This window comes from Homo sapiens, chromosome 11 (assembly GCF_000001405.40).
Source record: "Homo sapiens chromosome 11, GRCh38.p14 Primary Assembly".
In the NCBI taxonomy this organism is placed as follows: Eukaryota; Metazoa; Chordata; class Mammalia; order Primates; family Hominidae; genus Homo; species Homo sapiens.
Window position 1 is genome coordinate 113451146 of NC_000011.10, and position 24297 is coordinate 113475442.

At 45.9% G+C, this 24297-nt stretch overlaps 1 protein-coding gene across 5 annotated transcripts in view; it reads right to left on the reverse strand.

The window, feature by feature from the left end:
- The window catches only part of DRD2 (dopamine receptor D2), a 65794-nt gene extending 41541 nt beyond the window's left edge, over window positions 1-24253 (reverse strand). For 3 of the 5 annotated variants that reach the window (NM_016574.4, NM_000795.4, NM_001440368.1), the window contains exon 1: window positions 23931-24253. The gene's annotated coding sequence lies outside the window, so the exon portion shown is untranslated. Of the gene's footprint in view, window positions 1-23084; window positions 23592-23930 lie in introns of those variants that run through there. The other 2 variants (XM_017017296.3, XM_047426511.1) reach the window with 2 other exon arrangements.

Sequence of the window (24297 nt, forward strand, 5' to 3'; positions counted from 1 at the left end):
CTGCACAGGACTGGCTAGATTCTTTTAAGCTGTTAAGAATATGTATCCAAAACTTGTTAATAAGGCAGCAAGCCCACCTCAGGCTTTGATTCTCCAGGAGAATCTGTTTTGTTTGTTTACTATTTACCATCCACAAAGGGCCTAAACCTATGAGATAGATGCTAACAGTTAGAAAAGATGGTAACATGTGAGTGATTTCCATCCAGTAGAGAAGATTGTCCAAAGCCTTATGATTTTGTTGCCCTGTGAGACATTAAGTTTTGCATCTAATTTAGCAATCTTATTCCAGATTTCTTCCACGTATATATGTATATATATAATTTTTCCTGTATCCTCTTTTATTTATTATTTATTTATTTATTTTGAGATGGAATCTTGCTCTGTCACCCAGGCTGGAGTGCAGTGGCACAATCTTGGCTCACTGCTACCTCTGCTTCCGGGTTCAAGTGATTCTCCTGCCTCAGCCTCCCAAGTAACTGGGATTACAGGCACCTGCTACCACGCCCGGCTAATTTTGTATTTTTAGTAGAGATGGGGTTTTACCATGTCGGCCAGGCTGGTCTCAAACTCCTGACCTTAAGTGATCCACTGGCCTCAGCCTCCCAAAGTGCTGGGATTATAGGCCTGTATCCTCTCTTAAACCCAGCTTTGTCATTCTGCTAGTTGTCTCATTCATGAGTTAAATGAATCTTTGACATGTAATTGTTTGAGAAACAGATTTTTAATCTTTTGAAAAATATTACTTTAACAGTGTACATGACTCAAAAAAATAAACATTCACAGGAAAATTCCATAGCTGGGATGGATTAGGAAGCTGAGTGAGCTCCATTGTCCCATTTCTTCTCCCCTCCTCTGGCCCCCTCCAGCCCAACACATTCAACTCACACCCCAGCCTGCCTGCCAGCAGCCCAAGAGGCCTGCAGGAAAGCCTGCACGCTTCTTCTTTTAATGGGGATCTGTGCGTCAAGTTCGGCCGTTGTGGTTGTAGTACTTACTGCTTGCAAAGTAAGAGGTGGCTGACCCCAAATCATATTGGGACACAGGCATGTTTCAGGTAATTGAGAGCATGACAACCTCTCCAGGAGTCAGATAAAAGCCAGGAGAAAGGGCAATGTTGTCTGACAGCCAAGGGGCCGGTGGATCCTTTATGTAAATAACTTGAAAAATAAATACACAAGAAAAGCAGCAACTGTGAAGCTGTGGTTTCCAGAAGATGGGGAAAGCTTGTCTGAAGTTTAGCCCTTGCTTTCCATGTTGAGGAGCAAGGGCTAGGGCCACTGGTGTGCATGCGTGTGTGTGTGTGTGTGTGTGTGTGTGTGTGTGTGCGCGCGCGCGCGCGCGCACATTGGGGGACAGGAAATGAGACACTGCTGATTCAGATCCACCCTCACCTCCCCAGGGTCCTACTCAAACCACACATCTTCTGGAATTCTTCCCTGACCACTGACCACTGACCACTGGATATCCCAGTAGTATGGCCCTTCTCTGAACCAGTCCCCATCTTTTTTTTTTTTTTTTCTGAGATAAGGTCTTGCTTTGTTATCCAGGCTGGAGTGCAGTGGTGCAATCTCAGCTCACTGCTACCTCCTCCTCCTGGGTTCAAGCAATTCTCCTGCCTCAGCCTCTTGAGTAGCTGGGATCACAGGTTTCTGCCACCATGTCCAGCTAATTTTTGTATTTTTTTTTAGTAGAGACGGGGTTTCACCATGTTGGCCAGGCTGGTCTCAAACTCCTGAACTCAGGTGATCTACCCGCCTCGGCCTCCCAAAGCGCTAGGATTTCAGGTGTGAGCCACCCTGCCCAGCCACTATCCCTTTTTGCCTATAGTACTTCACACCATACTTTACTTTATGCTCTTTATTTTATTAGGAGTTAGCAGGCCTGTATTTTAGTCCTGGGGTTCTGCATCTTGTTAGCTGAGTGACTTTGGGCAAGTTACTTAATCTCCATCTCCCTCTCTAAGCCACAGTTTTATCACCTATCAAATGAGTACGTAAGAAAGTTTCCTACTTTCTCTACTCCATGGGGCAGTAAACATCAAGTCCTAGGTTCACATCCTGGCTCCATGCATACAATATCAACAACAAAAAATACTGAAAAACCCACTTAACTGCTGCTGCTCATTTTATTCATCTAGGAAGTGGGGGTGATGATAACAGTATCTACCCCATTGGGGTAGTTGTACAGATTGAGTTGTTGTAAATTTTCAATGAGATAATGTATGTTGAGTGAGGATACTGATGCCTGGTATACCATACGCACTCAGTCCGTGTTAACTATTTTAACTGAGAAAGCTTTGAAGTAGTAAGATGCCTATCAAATGAGAAGTTTTAGAATTACGATTGCCTGTTTTCTTGTATTCTTCTCTGTCTTGGATTTGTTAGTTATGCCTTCTTAGGTAGATTTCAAGTTCGTAAAATAATTCGACAACTATTTATTGAATACTTTAGAAATGCTAAGCAATGTAGATAACAAAATAAGCAAGATAGAGTCATTATCTTCCAGGAGACCACAGTGCAGGGAGAGAAACAAGTCCACAGATGATTAACACGTTCCATGACGGAGATGCCGGCACACGGAAGGGGTTGTCCCCCCAGGCTGGACTCCCTAAAGACAGGGCTGGGTCACATGATTTTTTAAAAGTCCCCTCCTTATTCCTCTGCACCTTTTACTCTACTCCTAGGACAGAGCTTTGTATGTGATAGAAGGTCAATGTATATTAGTCAAATAAATGTGTAGAATTGAGCAATCATTCTTATTATCTAGGTTACCCAGAGTCCTTTTGATGGGGGGCTGGGGGGAGGATGGAACTAATATTAGGAAGGAAACTAGTATTAACAGAGAACCTGGCACATCCCAAATACTGGGAAAGACATTTTATATATGGACAGTGGTGTGCTGGGGCTGGTGGGTGGCTCACTCTTCCTCACTCTACATTTAAAGAAGGCAGGTTGGTGGCTTCAAATCAGCTACAGTTTGAGTCTTTACACAATAAAATCATTAAATGCTTCAAATTAGAGCATTATTATTTTTGGAGAGCTAGTTGTTAAAATATTTACCAGCGGACACTATATGGTCCTCTTGCAATAATCTAGTTACAGGTGAAGGAATTAGGATTCACGCTTGAACCTGGGAGGTGGAGATTTCAGTGAGCTGAGGTCACCCCACTGCACTCCAGCCTGGGCAATAGAGTGAGACTCCGTCATGGAAAAATAATAATTATTATATATATACATATATATATGAATTAGGATTCAGAGAGGTTGAGTAATTTGCTCCAGGTCACACAGATCATAGAAGGCAGACTTGGGACTTAAACTCATCTGATTCCAAAGCCCTGGCTTTTCCCTCTGTAACTTGTGACCCACCCATCCCCCTTGTGTCCCAGTGGGCTTGATCAGGAACAGATTAGTGCATTGTCTGTACTTCGTCCTGGCTGAAGGGCAGAACAGAAAAGCTTCACTCTCTACTCAGTCTCCTTGTAAAAGTCAGAGCTCCCTGGACCAGGCACACCCATGTTCACTGCAGCATTATTCATAATAGCAGAAGTGGAAGCAACCTAAGTGTCTACTAATGGATGAGTAGATAGAGAAAACGTGGTATCCACATACAATGGGATATTATTCAGCCTTAAGAGAAGGAAATCCTAATGGAATCAGATAGAGATCCAAGAAGTAAACCCATGCATCTATAGTCAATCAATTCTCAACAAAAAGGCCAAGAACACACAGTGAGAAAAGGGCAGTCTCTTCAATGAGAGGTGTTGGGAAAACTGGCTGTCCACATGCTGAAGAATGAAATTGTACGCTTGTCTCACCCTTTATAAAAGAATCAACTTAAAATAAATACTTAAATGTAACACTTGAAACTGTAAAACTACTAGAAGAAAATATAGGGGAAAAGCTATAAGATGTTGATCTGGGCCGGGCACGGTGGCTCATGCATGTAATCTCAGCACTTTGGGAGGCCGAAGTGGATGGATCACGAGGTCAGGAGTTCGAGACCATCTTGGCCAACATGGTGAGACCCCGTCTCTACTAAAAAAATTAAATAAAATAATACAAAAAATTAGCCAGGCGTGGTGGCAGACGCCTGTAGTCCCAGCTACTTGGGAGGCTGAGGCAGAGAATTGCTTGAACCTGGGAGGTGGAGGTTGCGGTGAGCTGAGATCACACCACAGCACTCCAGCCTGGGTGACAGAGCAAGACTCCATCTCAAAAAAATAATAATAAATAAAAAAGATGTCGATTTGGCAATTATTTTTTGCATATGACCCCAAAATCACAGTCTACAAAAGAAAAATCAACAAACTGAATTACATCAAACTAAAATGTTTCTACGTAGTGAAGGAAACAATAAATTGAGAGAAAATATTTGCAAATCATACATCAGATAAGGAGCTCATATACAAAACATATAAGGAACTCAAACTACTCAATACCAAGACAAAAAATAACCCTGTTTAAGAATGTGCAAAGGACCTGAATAGGCATTTGTCAAAAAAAAGACATGCAAAAGGTCAACATATATTTTTTAAAAATGCTCAACATCACTATTCGTCAGGGAGATGCAAAATAAAACCACAATGAGATGTCACCTCATGCTGGATAGAATGGCTATTATCAAAAATATGGTAGACCACAAATGGTAACAAGGATGTAGAGAAAAGGGAACACTTATAAACCGTTGGTGGAAATATAAATTAACATAGCCATTTTGGAGAATAATATGCAGGTTCCTCAAAAAACTAAAAATAGCATTACCATATAATCCAGCAATCTTACATCTGGGTGTGTCTCCAAAGGAACTAAGATCAGCACATTGAAGAGATATCTGTATCCTCATGTTTATGGTGGCATTATTCACAATAGCCAAGATTTGGAAACAACCTAAGTGCCCATCAACAGATAAAGATTGAAAAAAACAACGTGATCTATATATCCACAATGGAATACAATCCAGCCTTTACAAAGAATGAAATTCTGTCATTTATGACAACTTGGGTGAATCTAGGGGACATTACACTAAATGAAATAAGCCAAGCACAGAAAGACATTGTATGATCTTGCTTATATGTGGAATCTACGAATTTGAACTCATAGAAGTAGAAGGTAAAATGGTGGTTACCAGAGCCTATTGGCAGAATGAGGGTTGACTAAGTTTTAATTAGGCAACAGGAATAAGTTTTGGTGATCCATTGCATTGCAACATGACTATAGTTAGTAATGACAAGTTGTCTATTTCAAAATTGCTAAAAGAATGAATTTTGAATGTTCTCACCACAAAAAAATGATAAGTATGTGAGGTGATGGGTACGTTAATTAGCCTCATTTGCTCGTTCCACAATACATACATGTATTGAAGCATTACATTGTACCCTATAAACACATTCAATTATTATTTTTCAATAAAAATACAATTTTTTTTAAAAAAAGAAGAAAATCCTGTCACATGCTACAACATGGATGAACCTTGAAGACAGCATGCTAAGGGAAATAGGCCAGGCAGAAAAAGACAAATACTGCATTATGTGAGGTATCTAAAGGAGTCAAATTCATAGAGACAGAAGGTAAAATGGTGGTGGCCAGAGGCTGCAGAGAGAGTAACATGGAGAATTCGTGTTGAATGAGTATAGAGCTTCAGTGTTTCAAGACGAGAAAGTTCTGGAGATCTATTTTACAATAACATAAATATTCTTAACATTATCAAACTGTACACGTCAAAATTATTAAGATGGTAAATTTCACATCATGTATTTTTTTAACCACAGTAAAAGAAAATAAACTGTGATCCCCAATGGAATTCACATGCACACATCCGACCTGCAGCAAAAAGGAATGAATGGACCCCTGGGCTCACCGTGGGCCTCCATGTGCAGCATTTGAGAGGCAGCCACCACCATAGGAGCCACCAGGCTGGGAGACTGACACCAGGAGACCCAAGCAGCTCCGGAGGCAATGGGAGAGACAGATGACAGTACGTAGGTAGCGGCCGGGAAGACAGACCTGCATTTGAATCCTGACTGTGCCGCTTCCCTAGAGGAGTCACTCAACCTCTGTGAGGTGCAGTGGCCACATCAGATGGTCTCTCTCCCTCCAGTGGGTCTGGGTAGTTAAAGAACATATGCCTAGTACAGATGTCACTTTACTCAGTAAATATCCACTCATCCAATTACAGAAAGCTACAAGTAAATAACAAGAAGGGGAGATCTCAGCAATACAAAGCGACCCTGTTCTCTTGTTCAGTGCTGCTTTGTGGACTGTACAGTTCTATTTCTGGGCAGGGCCCTCAAGGATGAATCTACAAAGTTTATAGTACTTCTGCTTCCACCGAGTTGAAAGAGTGCAATAGAACCGGCCTCACTGGCTTCAAGGTCTCCTGCCACCCCTTGCCCCAGGAACTGAGCTCCAGAATCCCCTCTCCATTACCACCCCCCCGACCCCCCACTATTTACATGTAAATGAAAAACGAAGAAAGGGGAGCCTGGGACCCTGTTGACTATGAATGAAAATTTGTCTAAGTTCTCCACCTTCTGCGAGAGCTGCCCCTGAGCTCTGTCCGCACAGCAAAATCCAGACCTCTGAAGTATCTAATTTGGAAATTATGGGCTGTCCGAGTGGCAGCTCTCCAAGCTGTTAGCTTGATGCTTGTCCTGGTCCCTCTGCAGGTAGCAGTTGCAATCAGCGATAGGCTCTGCCACCTTAGCCCTGCTCATTAGAGCCAGGGCCAATTATGTCCCAGCCCTGGAAGCTGAACCTAACAGCAGCCTCTTGTTCCAAGGGCTGTTCCCCAGTGGGTGGGACACAGCAGGCCAGCAGCAGCCTGGGCTGGGGAGGGGCATGGAAGATCTGTGCCCTCCTGGGTGGTAGGGAAGCCAGACTGTTGAAAAGGAATTCAAAGGACAGAACAAGACTTTCTTAGCTCCCCTTGGGCTCCCAGCTAGCTGGTGACACAGCCGAGACCTGCAATTAGAAAAACAACTGCCTGAGGCAACAGCTCTGCTGGTTAAATGGTGCCTAACCTGGGTATTTAGCAATTTTTATATATAAACACACACATCCCTGTAACACACAGTGTATGGGCTTTTGTTTTTAAATTTTAAAATGATTTTCTGCCCTCACCTTTTGATAAATGCTGTTATCAGTAATTTCCTCATTTCGTGCTTTGATTTCCTTTTTTATTGCATATGTAATCTCTGACCCACATGGGTGATATGGGATGCCAGGTGTGGGCCTACAAATATCACCAGAAAAAAAAAAATGAGAGAAAAGGTTGTGTTTACTCTTTCTGAAAACACAGCCCTCTATGGTTTCTGTTGGAGAGGCCACAGGATCACCCTGGCACTGGCATGTGGATATACTCCTTCCTTCAAATGCATCAGCTAAGATTAAAGCACTAATTTATTTGAAAGGCTATGTACCAGTTTTGATCTGGGGGAAAAAATGCTGGTCCACCACAACTTATGCTGTGTGTATATCATCACAAACAAGCTTTGATTATTGTGTGTGTGTGCATGTGTGTGTGTGTACACATTTGCATATAAATTAGGATTTATTGAATGCCCACTATTTTGGCACTGTGGACTATACTTCTATATTTAAAAGCAGTCTCCAACTTACCCAAGTTCTAAAATTTTGGAATATATTCATTCCTTTATTTGTACATCCTCTTTACAAATGTTCAGGGTCTACTATGCACTAAACACCAAGGGCAAGATCTTATGTGAGGTCATTATCGACCTCACATGCTGGGGGCAGCGATGGGGCAGGGGGAAATAAGAGGCAAGCCATCACATATGTTGTGATATATATCATAATGAAAGTGAAGAAGATAAACCTAGCATATGTAGAAAATATGATCTGGGGCAGCATGGAAATATTGTATCAGACAGATCTAGGCTCAAATAACAGCTTCAGTTCTCACCACCTGTGTGGCCTTGATTAACACTTTACTTTCTATCTCTGAGTCTCCGTTTCCTCCTCTGTAAAATGGGAGTAATAATTTCTATCTTTTATGGCTGTCACAGAGATTAAAGCTGATGCATATAAGGAAGATAATATAGTCAGTATTTGAAAGTGGTAGATATTATTCACTTGGATAAATTGAATGTACTGTGGGCAAGAAAGCATCTGCTTGAAAAATGAACACCTTAATAGAATATGTGTTTTAAAGCAAGGTTTGTCACCCCCAATGCAGCTCTGGATGGACAAAGGCAGAAAAGTGCGGGTGTTGTTGGTTATAGTCTGTAAGGGACTTCATCCAATCCAATACCATCATTTTAGAATAAAAAATCAGAGGACAAGAAAAGTTAACTATACCTAAGCTGCCAGTTAGATGACAGAACTGAGACTAGAACCTAAGACTCCTAATTCTAGAGACCTCCATAAAGACCCATCTGAGTCCATTTTCCTTAGAAAGAAAGCCGAGCAGTGAGAACTAAAAAAGGTGGATCTCCTGGAGGCAGAGAATAGTAGTAGTTACCAGAGGCTGGGAAGGGGAGGGGGAGATGGAGAGAGGTTGGTTAATAGATACAAAAATTCAGTTAGATGGACAGAATAAGATCTACCAATAATAGTATAGTACAGTGACTAATTAGCAATAACATATTGTATCATTAAAAATAGATAGAAGAGAAGATTGGAATATTCTCAACATAAAGGAAAGATAAATGTTTGAGGTGACAGATATCCCAGTTTCCCTCATTTGTTCATTACACAGTGCATGCACGTATCAAATTGTCACATGTACCTCCAAAATATGTACAACTATTATGTGTGTACTGCTAATCAGCAAATTAGCAGATTGCCAAATCTTCAAAGAAACTGGGCAGTGGGCCCCAAGGAATAGTGCTGTGGGTCTGGGAAGAAAGAAATCTATGGGATTCCAGCTCTACTTTGCATTTCTTTGCTTTTTGTGTCCATTCTATTACATTTTCCTGGATCTCTGTGTCTGGCAGACAGAAACTCAGCGGCTATGATTAGAGGCACTATCAAATTGACTGTCTTCAGACAAGCTGCTCATTTCAACCATTATTCCAGTTCCCTCAGTGGGGCTGCTCCAGGGTCGAAGCTGCCAGTGGACCCTGCCCTCTCCTGGCTGGCATTGGTGCCCTGCCCTCCCCAGTCACCCCCAGCCCCAGCAGCACTTGTGTGCTGCCACAGGCTGATGGAACAGGGACTGGGCAGGACAGGGAGGGAGGACGTGGGGATACTCAGGTGGGCAGACTTTCCTGAGCCACAGAGAATCTGGGTTCTGCCTCAAGCTGGACTGGCTGTGATCTTGACCTAGGGAGACACTCGAGCTGCCAGCCTCCAAAAGCTTCCTGGGGTCAGAGGCTCCACCTGTTGCTTAAGAGCTCCCTGGCTCCTTTTCTAGACAGAAGAATGTTCAGAGGCACTGCCTGGGGGCCCTCTGCCCTGGCCCCTCCTTGCTGCCAGGCTTTGGGGCAGGCACCCTCCCTGGCCTGTGGGAGCTTGGCTGCTCAGAGGCACATGGACACTGCTGGCCACATGTGCCCCTGTCCCTGCCCTTTGCTCCTCTCCTCCCACCAGGATTATGGACTCCTGTGGCTGTGACGTTACCGTGGAGACAGGGTGTGGGGAGATGCTGCAGAGGGCAGGGAGCTGCCCAGGGATGAAGACGAGATGAAAGCCAGAGAAACTGGGAGGCTCCAGCATCCTGTGCACTCAGGGAGGTAGTGAAGGCCCAATGCCAAGTCCCAGGTGGAGCCTCCAAGGCCTCAAGTCCCAAAGCTGGCCTGAGAACAGCTCCTTGGAAATCCCCTGTACCTCCTTCTCTGATACCTTCCCTCACCTATCACAGTGAAGGAGTTAACTTTTTCTCCAGACTTACTCAAGTCATTCAACAAGTAATTACTAAGCTATGGACCGGGTCATCAGAGACATCCAGATTGGAAAGCCCAAGAGGGCAGGCTCTGAAGGCTCAGACCTGCTGGGAGATATTACAGACAGCACCAAATGTTGCCACCTGTGTGCTAAGACAGGCCTGTTGGAAGATGAATCTGCGAGGCCACAGGATCCTCATTTACAGGGGCCCAGAACACCTTGCTAGCACCATCAGCATCCCCTATGTCCTTACAGACTGGCCAGCTGGGCAAACTTAATGATGGGGCTCCCAGTTTCAGAGAGTGAGTCCCGCTAGTTTTGTCTAAGAGGTCCTTGATCTTCTTCTCTATGGAGAGTACAGGTCCCAGGCCTCCCATCCACCACCCCCAGCAAAGCTGAACTCAATGGCAGGAGTCAGGAAGCCCTCCTTACCCCTGCCTCCACCCCACACATCAGGGAGCAGCAGTAAAATGACTTCTGGAAACACACCCTGGGCACAGTCAAGCAGGGGTTGTTACTATTATTACTATTACCTGGTGGAGATGAGGGATCCCCCAAGGCAGACTGGAGTATATAAGAGAAGAACATTGCTTTGTGTGAGGCATGGTGAGAGTTAAAGACTAGGATTTTAGTCCTGACTCTGCCCCCAAAAGATCCTGGGTAATTCACTTGGCCTACCGGAGTTCAGTGTGCTCATCTGTGAAATTAGAGCATTAGTCTGAGATCCTGGTGTATAGGAGGCATTTAATAAATGCTTGTAGAATGAACATTGAGTAAACAACTTCAAATCCCTGAGTTCCTTATGACTATATAAAGCACTTAATATGCACATCCAGCTGCCCTCACGGGGAGCAATTCCTGAGTTTCTTATGACTATAAAAGGCATTTAACATGCACGCCCAATCACCACCCTCACAGGGCCTGTGCCCAAGTGCCCCAGAAATCCAGGTTCCCATGGGCCTTCCCTTGCTGGAACATTCAAGGGACCCCCTTCCTTCCCCTCTCTTCCTCCAAACTCCCTTTACTTTCCCCCCTTACCAACCATTGTGCCAGCAGGTCAGTGAATCCTTTTTAATCCTGAACTCCCAGTTGTACTAATTGCTTTCTTTCTTGTCCTCATTTGCCTTCTAACTCAGGAGATGAGGCTTCAATTAGATAAGTGGGCAGCTATTCCCAAACAGGTGACTAGGAAGGAAAACAGTCCTACTCTGGAGGAAACAAAAGATGTCTATAAGGAACAGGATCCACCAAGGCAGGAAGCTCCCTTACAGGAGTAAAGAGTGTTCCCCTCCGACCCCCAAGCCCCCAACATCCACCAATTCATGTCCACCCGGAAGCTCAGAAGGTGACCTCATTTGGAAGTGGTCTTTGCAGACATTATTAGTTAAGGATAAGATAGGTTCATTCTGGATTACAGTGGACCCTAAATCAACACCTGGTGTACCCTTATAAGAAGCAGAGAGGAGACAGAGAGCCATGGGGGAGAGACAATCATGTGAAGACAGAGGCAGAGATTGGGGTGATGCTGCCACATGCCAAGGAGCGCCAGGAGCCATGGGGAGCTGGAAGAGACAAGACAGTATCCTCCCCTGCAGGCTTTAGAGGAAGCATGGCCATGCAGGAACAGGTATCATGCTCCATGCAGGAGCAGTGTTTAAGGCATGTGGCTGTGAGCTCTACAGAGGTTCTCCCACCTTCCCTCTCCCTCTGGAGACTTTCTGGATGCCCTGGGTCTCAGGGAGCCCACACAGGTGGGCAGCCAATCTGCTCTACATGCTTCTGAGCAAATCTCAGCCTGCTCTGCAAGAGGAAAATATTCACTCATTCACTCCTTCATCTATGCAACAAGTATTTATTGGCATCCTACTACTTCCCACGCATGTGCTAGATGGAACACCCAGAAACTCCCCCTTCTCCTGCCCCCTCCCTTCTGCCCAGTTCCTAAGATATGACTGATGATGTAGGAGTAATCAGTGGACCTTAGGTGGTTAGTATTATTAAAGACAATAGCACAGCATTCAAGGAGCATATGCACGTCACGTGATACGCTGAGCACTGACTTGCCTAATCTGCTTCCCTGTGAGAAAACGGGAATGTTGGTGGTGCTGTAGCCCCATCACATAAAGTGAACCCCTCAAAATACATAAGTATTTTGGTCCTACTTTTACATTTCACTTATCTCTATTTCCCAGGCAGTGGAGTATAGCTGAATAATAAGGCTCACCAAATCAGCAATTTTGAACCCAGAAATGAGAAGAAAGGACAAGAGGATGATTTTTGGAGCTGGTTAAATTGGGGAAACTTTTAATGTGGCTACCTGCAGCCACAGTGTGGTGCACACCATCTGTGGCCATTGGGCACGGGGTTTGGCATGGTAGGAAGTGGGCCGTGTCAGGGACGGGTCCCAGATCTGGGACTGGTCTGCTTCCAAGCAGCCATGAGACCCTGAACACGTTACTTCCCTCTCCAAGTACAATTTTCTCATTCATGTGTAGAGTTAGTGTAGGTCCCTTTCTTTACAGCCTTGACAATCTGGAATGTCTCGTCTGAATCACTTGCTGGAGGAGCATTCCAGCCTGCCTTAATAATGTGGAGGACTTCAGGGATGAGCAGAGGACAGTGCCTGCTGCTGTCTTATTATGGTGTGCATGCGTGTTTGCGGGGGCGGGGCTCAATGACAGTCCCACTTTGTGCAGTGCAGCAGGCAGGCACCTGGAGCTAGAGAGGTAAGGGCTCCATTCCAGCCTTTGAGGAATTTACCATCTAGGGAAGGAAACAGACCAGTAAATAAGCAATGACAACATAACTCAATACTGTATGCTAGAGAAATACAGAAGAGAGGCCCTTGGCCCAGGTAGGTGAAAGAGTGTAGGAAGGAAAATTGGGGAAGCCTCCCTGGAAGAGGTGATACCTGGGCTCTGTTTTAAAAGCTGAGTAGGAGTTAACCTTATAAGTTAAGGGCTGGAGCATTCTGGCAGAGAAAACAACACAACATGTTAGAAGGTTACAGGTGGCACACTGGGTGCAGAGGAACAATGGATGTCCACAGATCCATTTTCTTTCCTATTCCCTGTAACTTCCACCTATTTCAGCTCTCTCATCCACATCTTTATACCCACTTGCCACCCTGTCTTCACCTTTCTTCTGTTTTTCTTCCATTCTCTGTAGCTATGGAGAGGAATGGGTTCCATGAGCCACGGAGGGAGCGGAAGAGAAAAGCAGGATGAGAAGACCTACACTGGAGGTGTGTACTGCATGGCGGCAGCAGCCCCTCCCCTCCCAGCCTCAACTGAGGGCACCACTTCCGCTGCGGCCCTTCCAGGAAAGTGCTCAGCCCCACATCCCTGTGCCTCATTACCACCTCCCCTACCCTCTCATAAAGACTCTGTTCCTTTCAGGTGCCCACCAACCATTTATGCCCACTCTATCTCTCTTTGTCACTGCCATCCATACATTCCTGGTCACTTCCCCTCCCTCACTGTCTTTGGCACTAGCTCACTGTCTTCAACTCCAGCCCAAGTTGTGCCATGAACTCAGGTGAAATCAACTTCCAACAGCTTGGCCTCTTGATGCCTGGCCTCCTACTCCCCAAGCACACCCTTCACATTAGTCACCTGCTCCTATGAGTGCATTCTGAGCACTGACATCGCCAGGGGTGTTCCTCTCTGAGGTTACAAATTTAGTTACTCCACTGTGTGACCACAATTGCCTCTGCAGCCCAGTTCAAGTGCTCAGTGATTCCAAGTATACCAGTTCTCTGATTTCATCAACACCATCAGTCCACCGATTCTATCAGCCTATCTTCCCTTCCCTTTCAATCCAGCTTAGGTTTCTGGCCCAATATGCATACACTTTTACCGATATCCTTAATTCCCTTGCTTCATTGTTCTTAAATCATCCTTGGCTTCTCTCTTCCCCTCATCCTCCATAGCCCATCAATCACTGAGTTCTGGCGAATTTAAGATATCTTTTCAGGTCTTTCAAGCCTTCCTACCTCCACTGCCCCTCCCTAGATCAGGCTGCCAGCATTGCTGTCCTGAACAACTGCAAACTCTCCTAGGTACTCTGCCTCCAGTCTTGAATCTTCTATAATCAGTTCCCCCACATAGCAGCCTCTGTGATTTTTTTTTTTTTTGAGACAGTCTCACTATGTTGCCTAGGCTGGAGTGCAGTGGCCTGATCTCACTGCACCATCTGCTTCCTGGGTTCAGGTAATTCCCGTGCCTCAGCCACCCCAGTAGCTGGGATTACAGGTGTGAGCCACCACATCCGGCTAAGTTTTGTAGTAGAGATGAGCTTTTGCCATGTTGGCCAGGCTAGTCTCAAACTCCTGGCCTCAAGTGATCTGCCTGTCTTGGCCTCCCAAAATGCTGGGATTACAGGCATGAGCCACCATGCCTGGCCAGTTTTTGTTGTTGTTGTTGTTTGTTTGTTTGTTTGTTTGTTTGTTTGTTTTACTGCAAATTGAATCACTGGAGTTGTCCCTGTGCTTAAAACCCAATCCTTCAAGTTGGCTTCTTTTTTCCCTCAGGATGGAATCCAGTCTCCTACATAAGACTTCAAGGTTCATAGTCAGGCCCCTGCCTAAGCCTTTGGCCTTACCTTGTACCATCTTCACTTCAAATCCCATTCATTAGCCACTGAGTTTCTTCAAAACTCCATGGTCTAACCTGAGCCAGGTGTGGAGGAAAAACCCTGGGCAGAAGTGAGTTCTAGTCCAGCTCTCCTACTTCTCTGCTGTGTAACATTGGGTTCTTTCAAGTATAACACTCTATGCCAATTCATACCTGGTCTAATGTCTTCATCTGCAATGGTGTCTTTCTTCCCTCCAGAAGAGAGAATATAAAATTTGGAGCACAGGTTGGGAAGGGTTCTGTGGACACTTCTCTGCCCACTGATAATTACGATAAGGATAATGATAGTGAATGTTTGCTGAGAGCTTACCATGCATCAGGTACTGAGACAAGCACTTTATGTGCGTGACTCATTTCCTTTGCACAAAACCCAATCAGGTAAGTATATAGTCATCCTGTTTTATGAAGGGATAAAGAACTGCATCTCAAAGGGGTGATAGTAACTTGATAGAGGTCACATAGCTCATGACCGATAGAACAAAGATCTGATCCTGCATTAGCCTGGTTTTTGAGTGCTCTGAACCACTTTGTTTAACTAAATAACTAGAGGGACAGGGGATGCATAGCCCACTTCTTAAAAGTGCTTTGTGGAAAGATAGGTTCAAACTGTTACTGCGTTTGGAGGGTCTTGGGTATAATCATGCTTATCTGTACCTTTTAAAGTAAGGACTAGTCCAATTCCCCAAAGTCTAAACACAGAAATCACCAAAGCACTAATGGCATCCCTCAATAACAGCTCTTTTGTCTTCAGGTCCCCAGGCTGACCTGAACAAACACACCTGTGTATGTTTCCTCAACAGCCCCCCCAGTGCATTTTCTCCATGAGTGTGTCTGATTGAAGTAGGTTCCAACCATTCAATATTCCCCAACTTCCATGCCCTGTGACAACTGCGAAAAATTTCCATCCAACCTATAATGTCTTCATGGCTGAGGGTGGCCAGATAGTGCAGGTTAGGGATGAAAGAGAGAAGGCATGAAGTATGTTGCTGACCTATGAGATACCTCTAGTGGGGGATGCCTCAGACACTGCCACTCTTGTTAAGCTGCAAGTAAAGTAGAGGGAGAGTGTCGCTATGGGGAAGTAAGCTGTCTCTCACCTACCCATCACTTATCCACTCACCCACTCTCACTCAACAATTTAAGTAACTACCAAGTGCCTAGCACCATTTTAGGTTATAATAGATTTTAGAGAAGCATGAGACAAATTCTCTGCTTCAAGGAGCTCATGGTCTGGTGGAGAAGACAAGAAATGCACAATTGAGAGATTAGCATTAAGCATTAAGTTGGCTCCTCACAGAAGACAGGCCACAAGGGAGATTTTGTGTCATTAGTCACAATGTGACTCTAGAGTGATCCCAGACCTTCAACTACACATACTACTAAAGAAAAATAGTGTGTGGAAACATGGATCCACCGTGGTGCGGGGGCAGGCGGTGGGAGGCGGTGCTGACATCCTCTGCCTGGGACCCTGGAAGTTAGTTTCTGCTTGTCAACACATGTCTCTTATTGACCCTGCCATAAATGAGTGAAAGAGTTGAAAGGGCTGAGTCCAAAAAAGGATGAACCAAGGAAGATGACCCAGGAACAGAATACCTACAGTGCCTTCTGAAATATTCTACCATAGCTAAATGGTGAGCATTTGTAGCTGGCCAGAAATAGATGCACATCAATTACAAGAGAGTCCTCCCCAAGAAGGGATTCATAGACCAAGAAAAAGGCCAACAAGAGGGATTATCTTTATGCACTGGGGAATCTCAGGACCAGAAGCTACTGTTTCCATCCTCCTTTCTCAGGCAGGACCATACTTCACCTAAAAACATGATAGCATTTGCTCCTGCCAAGAATGACTCCAGAAGCTGCAGAACACATATTTCTGCCAGCTTTGGGGGTCTGCTCATGTGAAGTTCTTTGGCCCTTTCAATCTGGGAAAAGAAAAAAAGTCACCTTGTCCTTGTACACCAGTACATTCTCCTTGTTTTTTGTTTTTAATAAAAACTGGCCTGTGCCAGAGCAACATACCATGTGACACTGCCAATCAGGGAGGCTCCAACCATGAGGTAGCAGACACAGAGCCCAGGAAACCAGGAAGAAAAATTAGGCCATGAAAAGCTATCACCAGGATAACTTATGCCTCTTCCTAGCTCATGTGGTGTAAGATGGAAATGAATTCAGCTGCACCTAAATCAAAGGGATGACAAGCAATTCAAACCCCTATCTCGCTCAAAATGAGCAAGAGCTGCTGACAGGTGAAAGCCAAAGAATTTTGGTGCAGATAAGTGGAGAGTGTAAGAAAGAAGTATATCCTTGAATTTTGTGAACGTTTTAGAAACATGATTTCAGAAATGTAAAATCAGGTGCTGAATTACTGCAAAAGGACAACAGCTCAAAGTGTTGTTTCTTACTTAAGCATCTTAATAATAACAATAACAATCATTACAGTTAACATTTAAAGAGTACTCACTTTTCCCAGGGACTCTTTCAAATGTCTTGTCTCTATTACCTTAATTAATTACTGTGACCCAATTATGTTGGTATTAACATCCACTTACAGGTGAGAACCCCCAGGTGATAGAGGTTAATTAACTTGCTCATGGTCACATAGCTAGTAAGTGTTAGAGTCAGGATTCAAATCCTGGAAGTCTAATTCCAGAGCCCACAGGTTTAACTACCATATGGTGTTGTTTTTAAAGGGTTTAAATAGGTGACTAAATATTGATATATGTCATTCATAAAACTCATGGTGAGGCTCAACAACAGAGGAGTCTTCTCACTTATTATGAGGTGAACACGATTATTACAGTCCCTTATTTGTGCCTGAAATAACTGATGAGCAGGTTAAGTGCCCTGCCCAGGGACATCCAGGCCTCACCTGCCTCTGTCTATCAGAAAAGCATTGATCAGGGTTTTTTTTGTTTTTTGTTTGTTTGTTTGTTTGTTTTTTGAGATGGAGTCTCGTTCTGCCACCCAGGTTGGAGTGCAGTGGCACGATACTGGCTCACTGCAACCTCTACCTCCCAGGTTCAAGCAATTTTCCTGCCTCAGCCTCCTGAGTAGCTGAGACCACAGGTGCATGCTGCCAGATCCTAATTTTTTTGTGTGTTTTAGTAGAGATGGGGTTTCACTGTGTTGCCCAGGCTGGTTGTGAACTCCTGAGTTCAAGCAATCTGCCCACCTCAGCCTCCCAAAGGGATGGGATTACAGGCGTGAGCCACCGCGTCTGGCTAATCAGCTCATTTTTTAAAGGCAGCTCTCATGAGTCACTCCTGTGTCTGTCCAGGATCCCAGGCCATCCCGCCCTCACATTTCTGTAAAATGTGGAAGCTTAGTCTTGGAGATATAACAAGTTTTCCTTCTATGGTAATAAGAAAGCAAACCCAAAGACCTAATTGTTGGCAGAAGTCTGGCTTTCATCCTTTGGACAGTTCAGTTCACCTCAAAGAGATGTGGGACAGAAGGTAATGTCATCACAGTTCCAGAAGAGCTTGACAAAACATCCGTCTACACCTCCTCCCAGCTCCTCCCCCAGGTTGGAAGGCTTAGTTGACCCTGCCTCCCTCCTGCTCCTGCCGCCCTCCCTCCTGCTCCCACTGCTTGCTGAGGTTTACGCCCAGTGCATTTCATCCAAAGGGACCCAGATCCAGGTACAGAACACTTCCTCGCTGGTTCTCAAATTTAAGAATCCCAAGGAGTTATTTTATTCATCCTTCTCCATCTGCTGTCTCCCTCTTCACTTTCCTGGTATCATACACAAAGATTACTGCCCTTTCATTCACTAAAGAATTATCTTCTTATCCCTATTCTCCTCCTTTTCTTGTTCTTTATGCCACTTACGTATCAGAGAGGGCTATTGCTTTAGCCTTAAACAGTCTGGTTTTGAATCTTTGTCTCACACATGAAACGTGTGACCTTGTGCAAACCACTTACCTTTCTAAGCCTATGCTTCTTCCTCTGCAAAATGGAATAATAAGGGTTACTCTGAGGCAGGAGGATCGTTTGAAGCCAGGAGTTCAAGACCAGACTGGACAACAAAGCAAGGCCCTATATCTACAAAAAATTCTTTAAAAAATTAGTTGGGCATGCTGGCATGCACCTGTACTCCCAGCTGCTCGGGTGGCTGAAGCAGGAGGATCACTTGAGCCCAGGAGTTCAAGGCTGCTGTGAGCTATGATTGCACCACTGCACTCCAGCCTGGGTGACAGAGCAAGACCTCTCTCTAAAAATGAAAATAATAAATAAATAAATAAATAATAAACAAACAAAAAATGTAAAAACAAGGGTTCCTATTTCACAGAGTTGTTGCAGGATTGGGAGTTTAAATGAAGAACCTATGTCAAGTGCTGAGCACAGCGCCCTGCACACAGTAAGTGCACAATAAATGCTGGCCGTTATGATGATGAGGCCAGCAAAGGAGGGTCTGGTGAACAGGACCACTTCTCATTCTAGGGAAGCCTGGTACTAAGCCACTTTCCCATATCAAGAGTTCCTGGGAGTTGCTAGTGATGGTGCTGCCTGGGGTAGCAGGTAGGAGAGGAGGCAATGATGTAGCATGTAACAAAAATAATTTCATTTCTAATGTCTTTCTCCTGCTGGGCCACTTAGAACCCAAACAATAACAACAAGGAGGGGGTGGAAATGAGAAGGGCAGGCACGTTCTGAAGGAGACCAATAACAAATGAACAGGCGCCAGGACTCCCTTTGGCTCCCAGACATCTGCAGGGGATTATCGTTGGGGCCACAGCTGCAGTTCTGTGCTGAGCGACAGCTTCCTGGAAGGCAGGACTGCCCAGGCTAACTGCAGGCCTATTGATGGAGCTCCTGGGAGCCAGGTCTGCCTGACTTCCCTTACCGCCCTCTGTCTGGAAGCAAGCTGACATTACCCAGAGGGCTGCAGGGGAAACCAGAGGTTTTCCCTCCTTCCCCTCCCTGTCCCTTCAGACAGCAAAGAATTCCCTCATCTCCTACTGGAAAAAGTAAAAATCCTTACAGGTGACATCAGATTATGACAAAATTGCCCAAACTACACTAAGCTGATACCTATATTCAATGCATATTTAACATCAGCCTCTTTCAGGGCCTCCTAAGAGTCTACTTCTCCTCTGCTCTCACCTCTGTACACTGTCCCATACTCTCCCAAATGCCCCTAGGAGTTTCCAGGCTTCTGAGTTCAAAGCACTGCAGCAGCACAGTTTCTTCTATCCAGGGGAAGAGGGAGGCCTCAGACCCCAGTGTGTCATCTCTGACTCCTCCCTATACACTAGAGCCACCAGGGTCCTTGGCCCCTCTGCAGTGAAACACTCTCATGTATCCTAGGGAGAGAAGAGGCTGTGCCTTCCAAGGGCATCCCAGCTGCCAAGGGTATTGATTTAACCCATTTACCAGATTAAGGTGAAAGGAAAAAGAAAAGAAAAATCTGCAATTCTGAGGGCAAATTTCTCTCCTTTCTCTGGACCCAAATCAAAGAAAACCAAGTGGCTGAGTCTTATAGTTTTATTACTCCTCCATCCCCATGTGCTGACACTATAATCAAGCTATTTTCCAGGCCTGTACATTTAGATAATATGATTCTATTGTCAAAAAATAAGAAAGTTTTGCATCCATTTAAGTACAGAGGAAAGAAATCTCCAATTACATTGGTCATGGGAACAGGTGAGAGGCAAAAGTATATTAATATTAGATTCCAACACCATTAGAGTAATTTAAAAGGCCAGAGATAACATTAGTCTACTGCTCAAATTGGTAAATAAGCAATTTGTGCATCCTTAGTGGCTCCATGGTATATTCTGGAGAGCAGAAGGGCTTATACCTAATCCCAAGGTCCTTCCAAGGCCACAAAATGCCTTACTGGAGGTGAGAAGAGGGAAAATGGTGCTGGGGTTCAGCTAAGTAAGAGGCTACCTACAAAGGAGGGTGCCTGCTGAGAAGTTGAATCAACCTGTGTCCTTTCTGCTGCCCATGGTTTCCGAGTGTTTCCTATATGCAGGATGCTCCTCTGCTAAGCAGAGTACCTGGTAGGATGGAGAAGCTCCAGTTGCTGAGTCCAGTCCTGGTGTTCAGAAACTGGAAAATTCATTGGAAAAAGTTCTGTTTAGGAGAACTTTAATAAAAGAAGAAAGACCATTGTATTTCTGGACTAAGGAAACAGCTTCCCTGTTTGGAGTCAGGGGCATCTGGCATGACCTCTGAGGAGCCCAAGAAGATAACCTAAGAATCTAAAGTCCTATAAACTATATCCCAGGAAAATGCAAATGACTGGGCTGCTGTTCTAAGCTATTTTCAAGACCTCAACTCTTAGGTAACTGTAGCCTGCTGATATATAACTTGATTCTGGGAGATATTACAAATATGACTTAGGGTTCTGGCATTATAAAACCTCAACTTGATTCTTCTCTCTTCCTAGGTGTTGAGGCACCTTCACTGTTGGAGATTCATAGGTATTAAGCCACAAAGCGGGGAGAAGTGGTGGGTGCCAACACAGGATTGGCTCAAGGAAGTCTCATCATATCTGTCTCTCCTGGGCGATGTGCTCATATGTGTGCATGCACGTGTATGCAAACACACACAAACACATACACATACACACAGTGCTATCTTCACAGCCACACTTTTTTGTTAACACTAAAATGTAACTTTTACTTGCAGGGGAGATGGAAACCATTCTCTCCAGGCAGAGTCCCCACGTCTTTCCCCTTATACTTGTTTATTCAGAGAATGGTGACCCCAGACCAGTCCGGCTTCAGCAAGACAATCTCAGGAGTATGTGAGGCCATATTTCTAATGACCCTAAGTTCCCATTTGTTTCCCATAGTATCAAAGAAAGAACAGAAGCGTTTGTCTCAATTTCAGATTCTCCTATATCATTCTCAAGATAATTGCATTTTCTAGACAGAAATAATCCACCTTTGTAGGTGAAGGTACAAGACTAACTAGCCCACAAGCATCATTACTAGCCTTTTTACCCCTACAAGCCTCCTTGCTTATGGAACAAAAGAACCAAATCAATACAGTCAATATGTCACTTCCAGCAGGGCATGAGTGGCTACCAGCCTTGGGGAGCATGACGTGCTACTAGGCTGAACTAATCACTCCTTGGCATTTCAGGAGCACTTAGGTTAACAGATCACAGCACATGCATAATGAAAGACAATAACTCACCCAGAGGGGAGGGCAGGAGGGAAACACTGAGTTGACCCCCATAGAGGGACAGTTAGTATTTACATAAGTCAACCTGAAGCCATATTGGTGATTCCTTAAAAGGGCCAAAAATTTTAGAAAGAAGAAAAGCCCAGGAAGATCCTGGGGGAGAGGAGATTGGATTGCATCCTTAATTTCAGCAAAGATTTAATCAGGGGGATGGTCTTTCTACCAAGAGTCTCACACTTGAAGAATTTAACAGGTATAACAGCAGGAGACAAAGGGTGAGATTAAATACCTTAATTTTATAAATTTCAAATGTATGAAATTTAGGAATATTTAAGATATCAGCAAATGGTTGCCAAGGTACATGATTCTTTTAACTCTTAGAAATGCATTTTTATATCTTCAAGGGATTTTCTCAGATAGAATACCTGCTACCAATTTTATGTAAAATAAACTTGATTTCCATTTTCAAAATAAAATAAATGTATACAGACTCTCTAAGGAGTCTCAACTTTTTGGGAGGTAATTTGCTAATTCAGTGTACACATGAATCACTCAGAAACATTGTTAAAATATAAATTTCCTGGGCCTCCGCTTGAGATTCTCATTCAGCAGTTTTTCAAGGAAGAAGCAAAAATACGCATTTTTAACCAGCTTCTCAGGGAATTCATTAAAAAGAAAAAAACCCTTAGAGAAATGCTGCCCGGACTTCTACAACAAATCAGAACCTCTCCACTTTCTGGGCACCTCAGGCTGTGCAGGGAAGGTAGAAGGAACTCAATGATCTTTAAGAGCTGGGACTACCCTGGCCCTCATTTGGTTCTAGGTCTAACCCTCCCAAACCACTTCCTTGTCAGATGTCTGCATTCAGAGATGGCATCAAAACCCCCTGCAACAAATAATCCAGGAATTTTGAACACTAAGGAGGGAAGTCCAAGGCAGGGACTGAAACCCAGGAAAGCAGCTTGCTGATTTTCTTGAAACTGGTCATGCTGACCACAGTCTCTCTATCTGGCCACCCTCATCAAACAGCTGCATGAGGGAAAGACGATAAGCATGATTTCTTTTTCAAGTGGTCCTAATGCTGCAGGATGAATCAGAGATAAGCATGCATATTTGCATTTGAAGCAGGGTGGGAGTGGGGAGAATCGTTGAACATCTAGCTCCCTAAGGAGGAGCAAGGATTGGCCTAAAAGGTTTGTAGCCTGGTCAAAATACAGAAAGGCTTGGATCTGCAGAAGGATCTGGAGTGGGATCCACAAAGTGCCTTGCACCTCACTCCCTCACCCCCTCACCCAACCTCAAGAGCCACCGAAAAAAAAGTAGTGGGGTGTCAGGTGGGGCAACAGTGACTTGCTCAGACAGCTTCCTTGTGGCTGAGAGCAAGCGCCTGTCCCCACGGAGCTGCACTGCTGTGACTTGTGTCCATGGTGAAGCCTGTTATGTAGACGCACACGCACCCTCTTACCTCTGCTCTTCAAGAGGAAGCACTCAAGGGCTGCCCGCCTCAGACAGGGATAGGGAAGCGCTCTGTCTGGTGCTTAGAGGTGTCTCTTGTCTCCGCATACCACCCTAGAGGGGCTCTCGGTCCATCATAGAGCCGGGCCGAGAGCCGGGCGGTCACCCTCCGCTACTGCCGCCACCGTCGCCTGCACTGCCGGGTAGAAACGGGTCTGGCACCCAAGCCTCCCTCCCCGACTAGGTGTCAACCCAAGAGAAGGCGAAGGAGAACGAAAGTTCAGGACCAAGGACAGCGGCAACCGTGGGAGCGGGAGAATCCAGCCAGAATCTGCCTCTCCCCCATCCTTAGCTTCTGCCTTAGAAACTGAAAAGGGTCAGGTCGCACCAACACAGAGTTGCCAAAAACAGCCCTTCTTCCTCCGGAAGAAGTCGGAAACTCTGGCCGCGAGCCCCGGGTCTCGCGCTTGGGTGCTGGGGGAAGTGCCCTCCCGAGATTGTGGGGAGCGGCCTCCCTCCCGCCCTCCGATGCCGCGGCTCCGCCGTGCTGCCCTGGGCGCCCCGCGGGGAGGCTGCCCCAGCTGCGCCCGCTCGTGCTCGGGGAGAGGATTCCCTTCTAAGTGGCGAGGAGGCTACTGAGAAGGAGGGAGAGGGGATAGCAGCCGCGGGCTCCAGACGCCCTCTGCCCCCGCCCGACGGGGAGCCCATGCAGAGCCGGATCCCAGGCGGGCGCTCCCGAGCAGGCGGCCAGGAGTGGCCGCACAAACTTCTGGTCCTGGCCTCGCTCCCCTTGGAGGTCCCTCCTCCTCTCCCCGTGACACTGAGTCGCCCGCCGCTCCATCCGGCCGGTGCTTACCTTCAAGCCATAGGGCGCCCGGGGGCAGAGACGGCGCCGGCTGCTTGAGGCTTCCAGCTCCCGCCGCATCCACGCGCGGCCGCCCCTCCGGCAGCCGTCCGGGGCCGCCACTCTCCTCGGCCGGTCCCTGGCTCCCGGCCCCGCCGCGCCGTTCAGAGCCCCGGCGGGCAGCAGCTCGGCCGGCTCTGGCCCGCGGGGAGCAGTGGACGGGCCGCGGCGGGGCGGGGCGGGGCGGGGCCGGGCGCGGGGCGGGCGGGCAGGAGGGAGCGCGGGGACGGGGCGGAGGCGGCGCGGTGCGCGCGTGAGGCTGCCGGTTCGGCACTGAAGCTGGACAGCTCTGCGGCGCCCGAGCGCGGGGAGCGCGGGA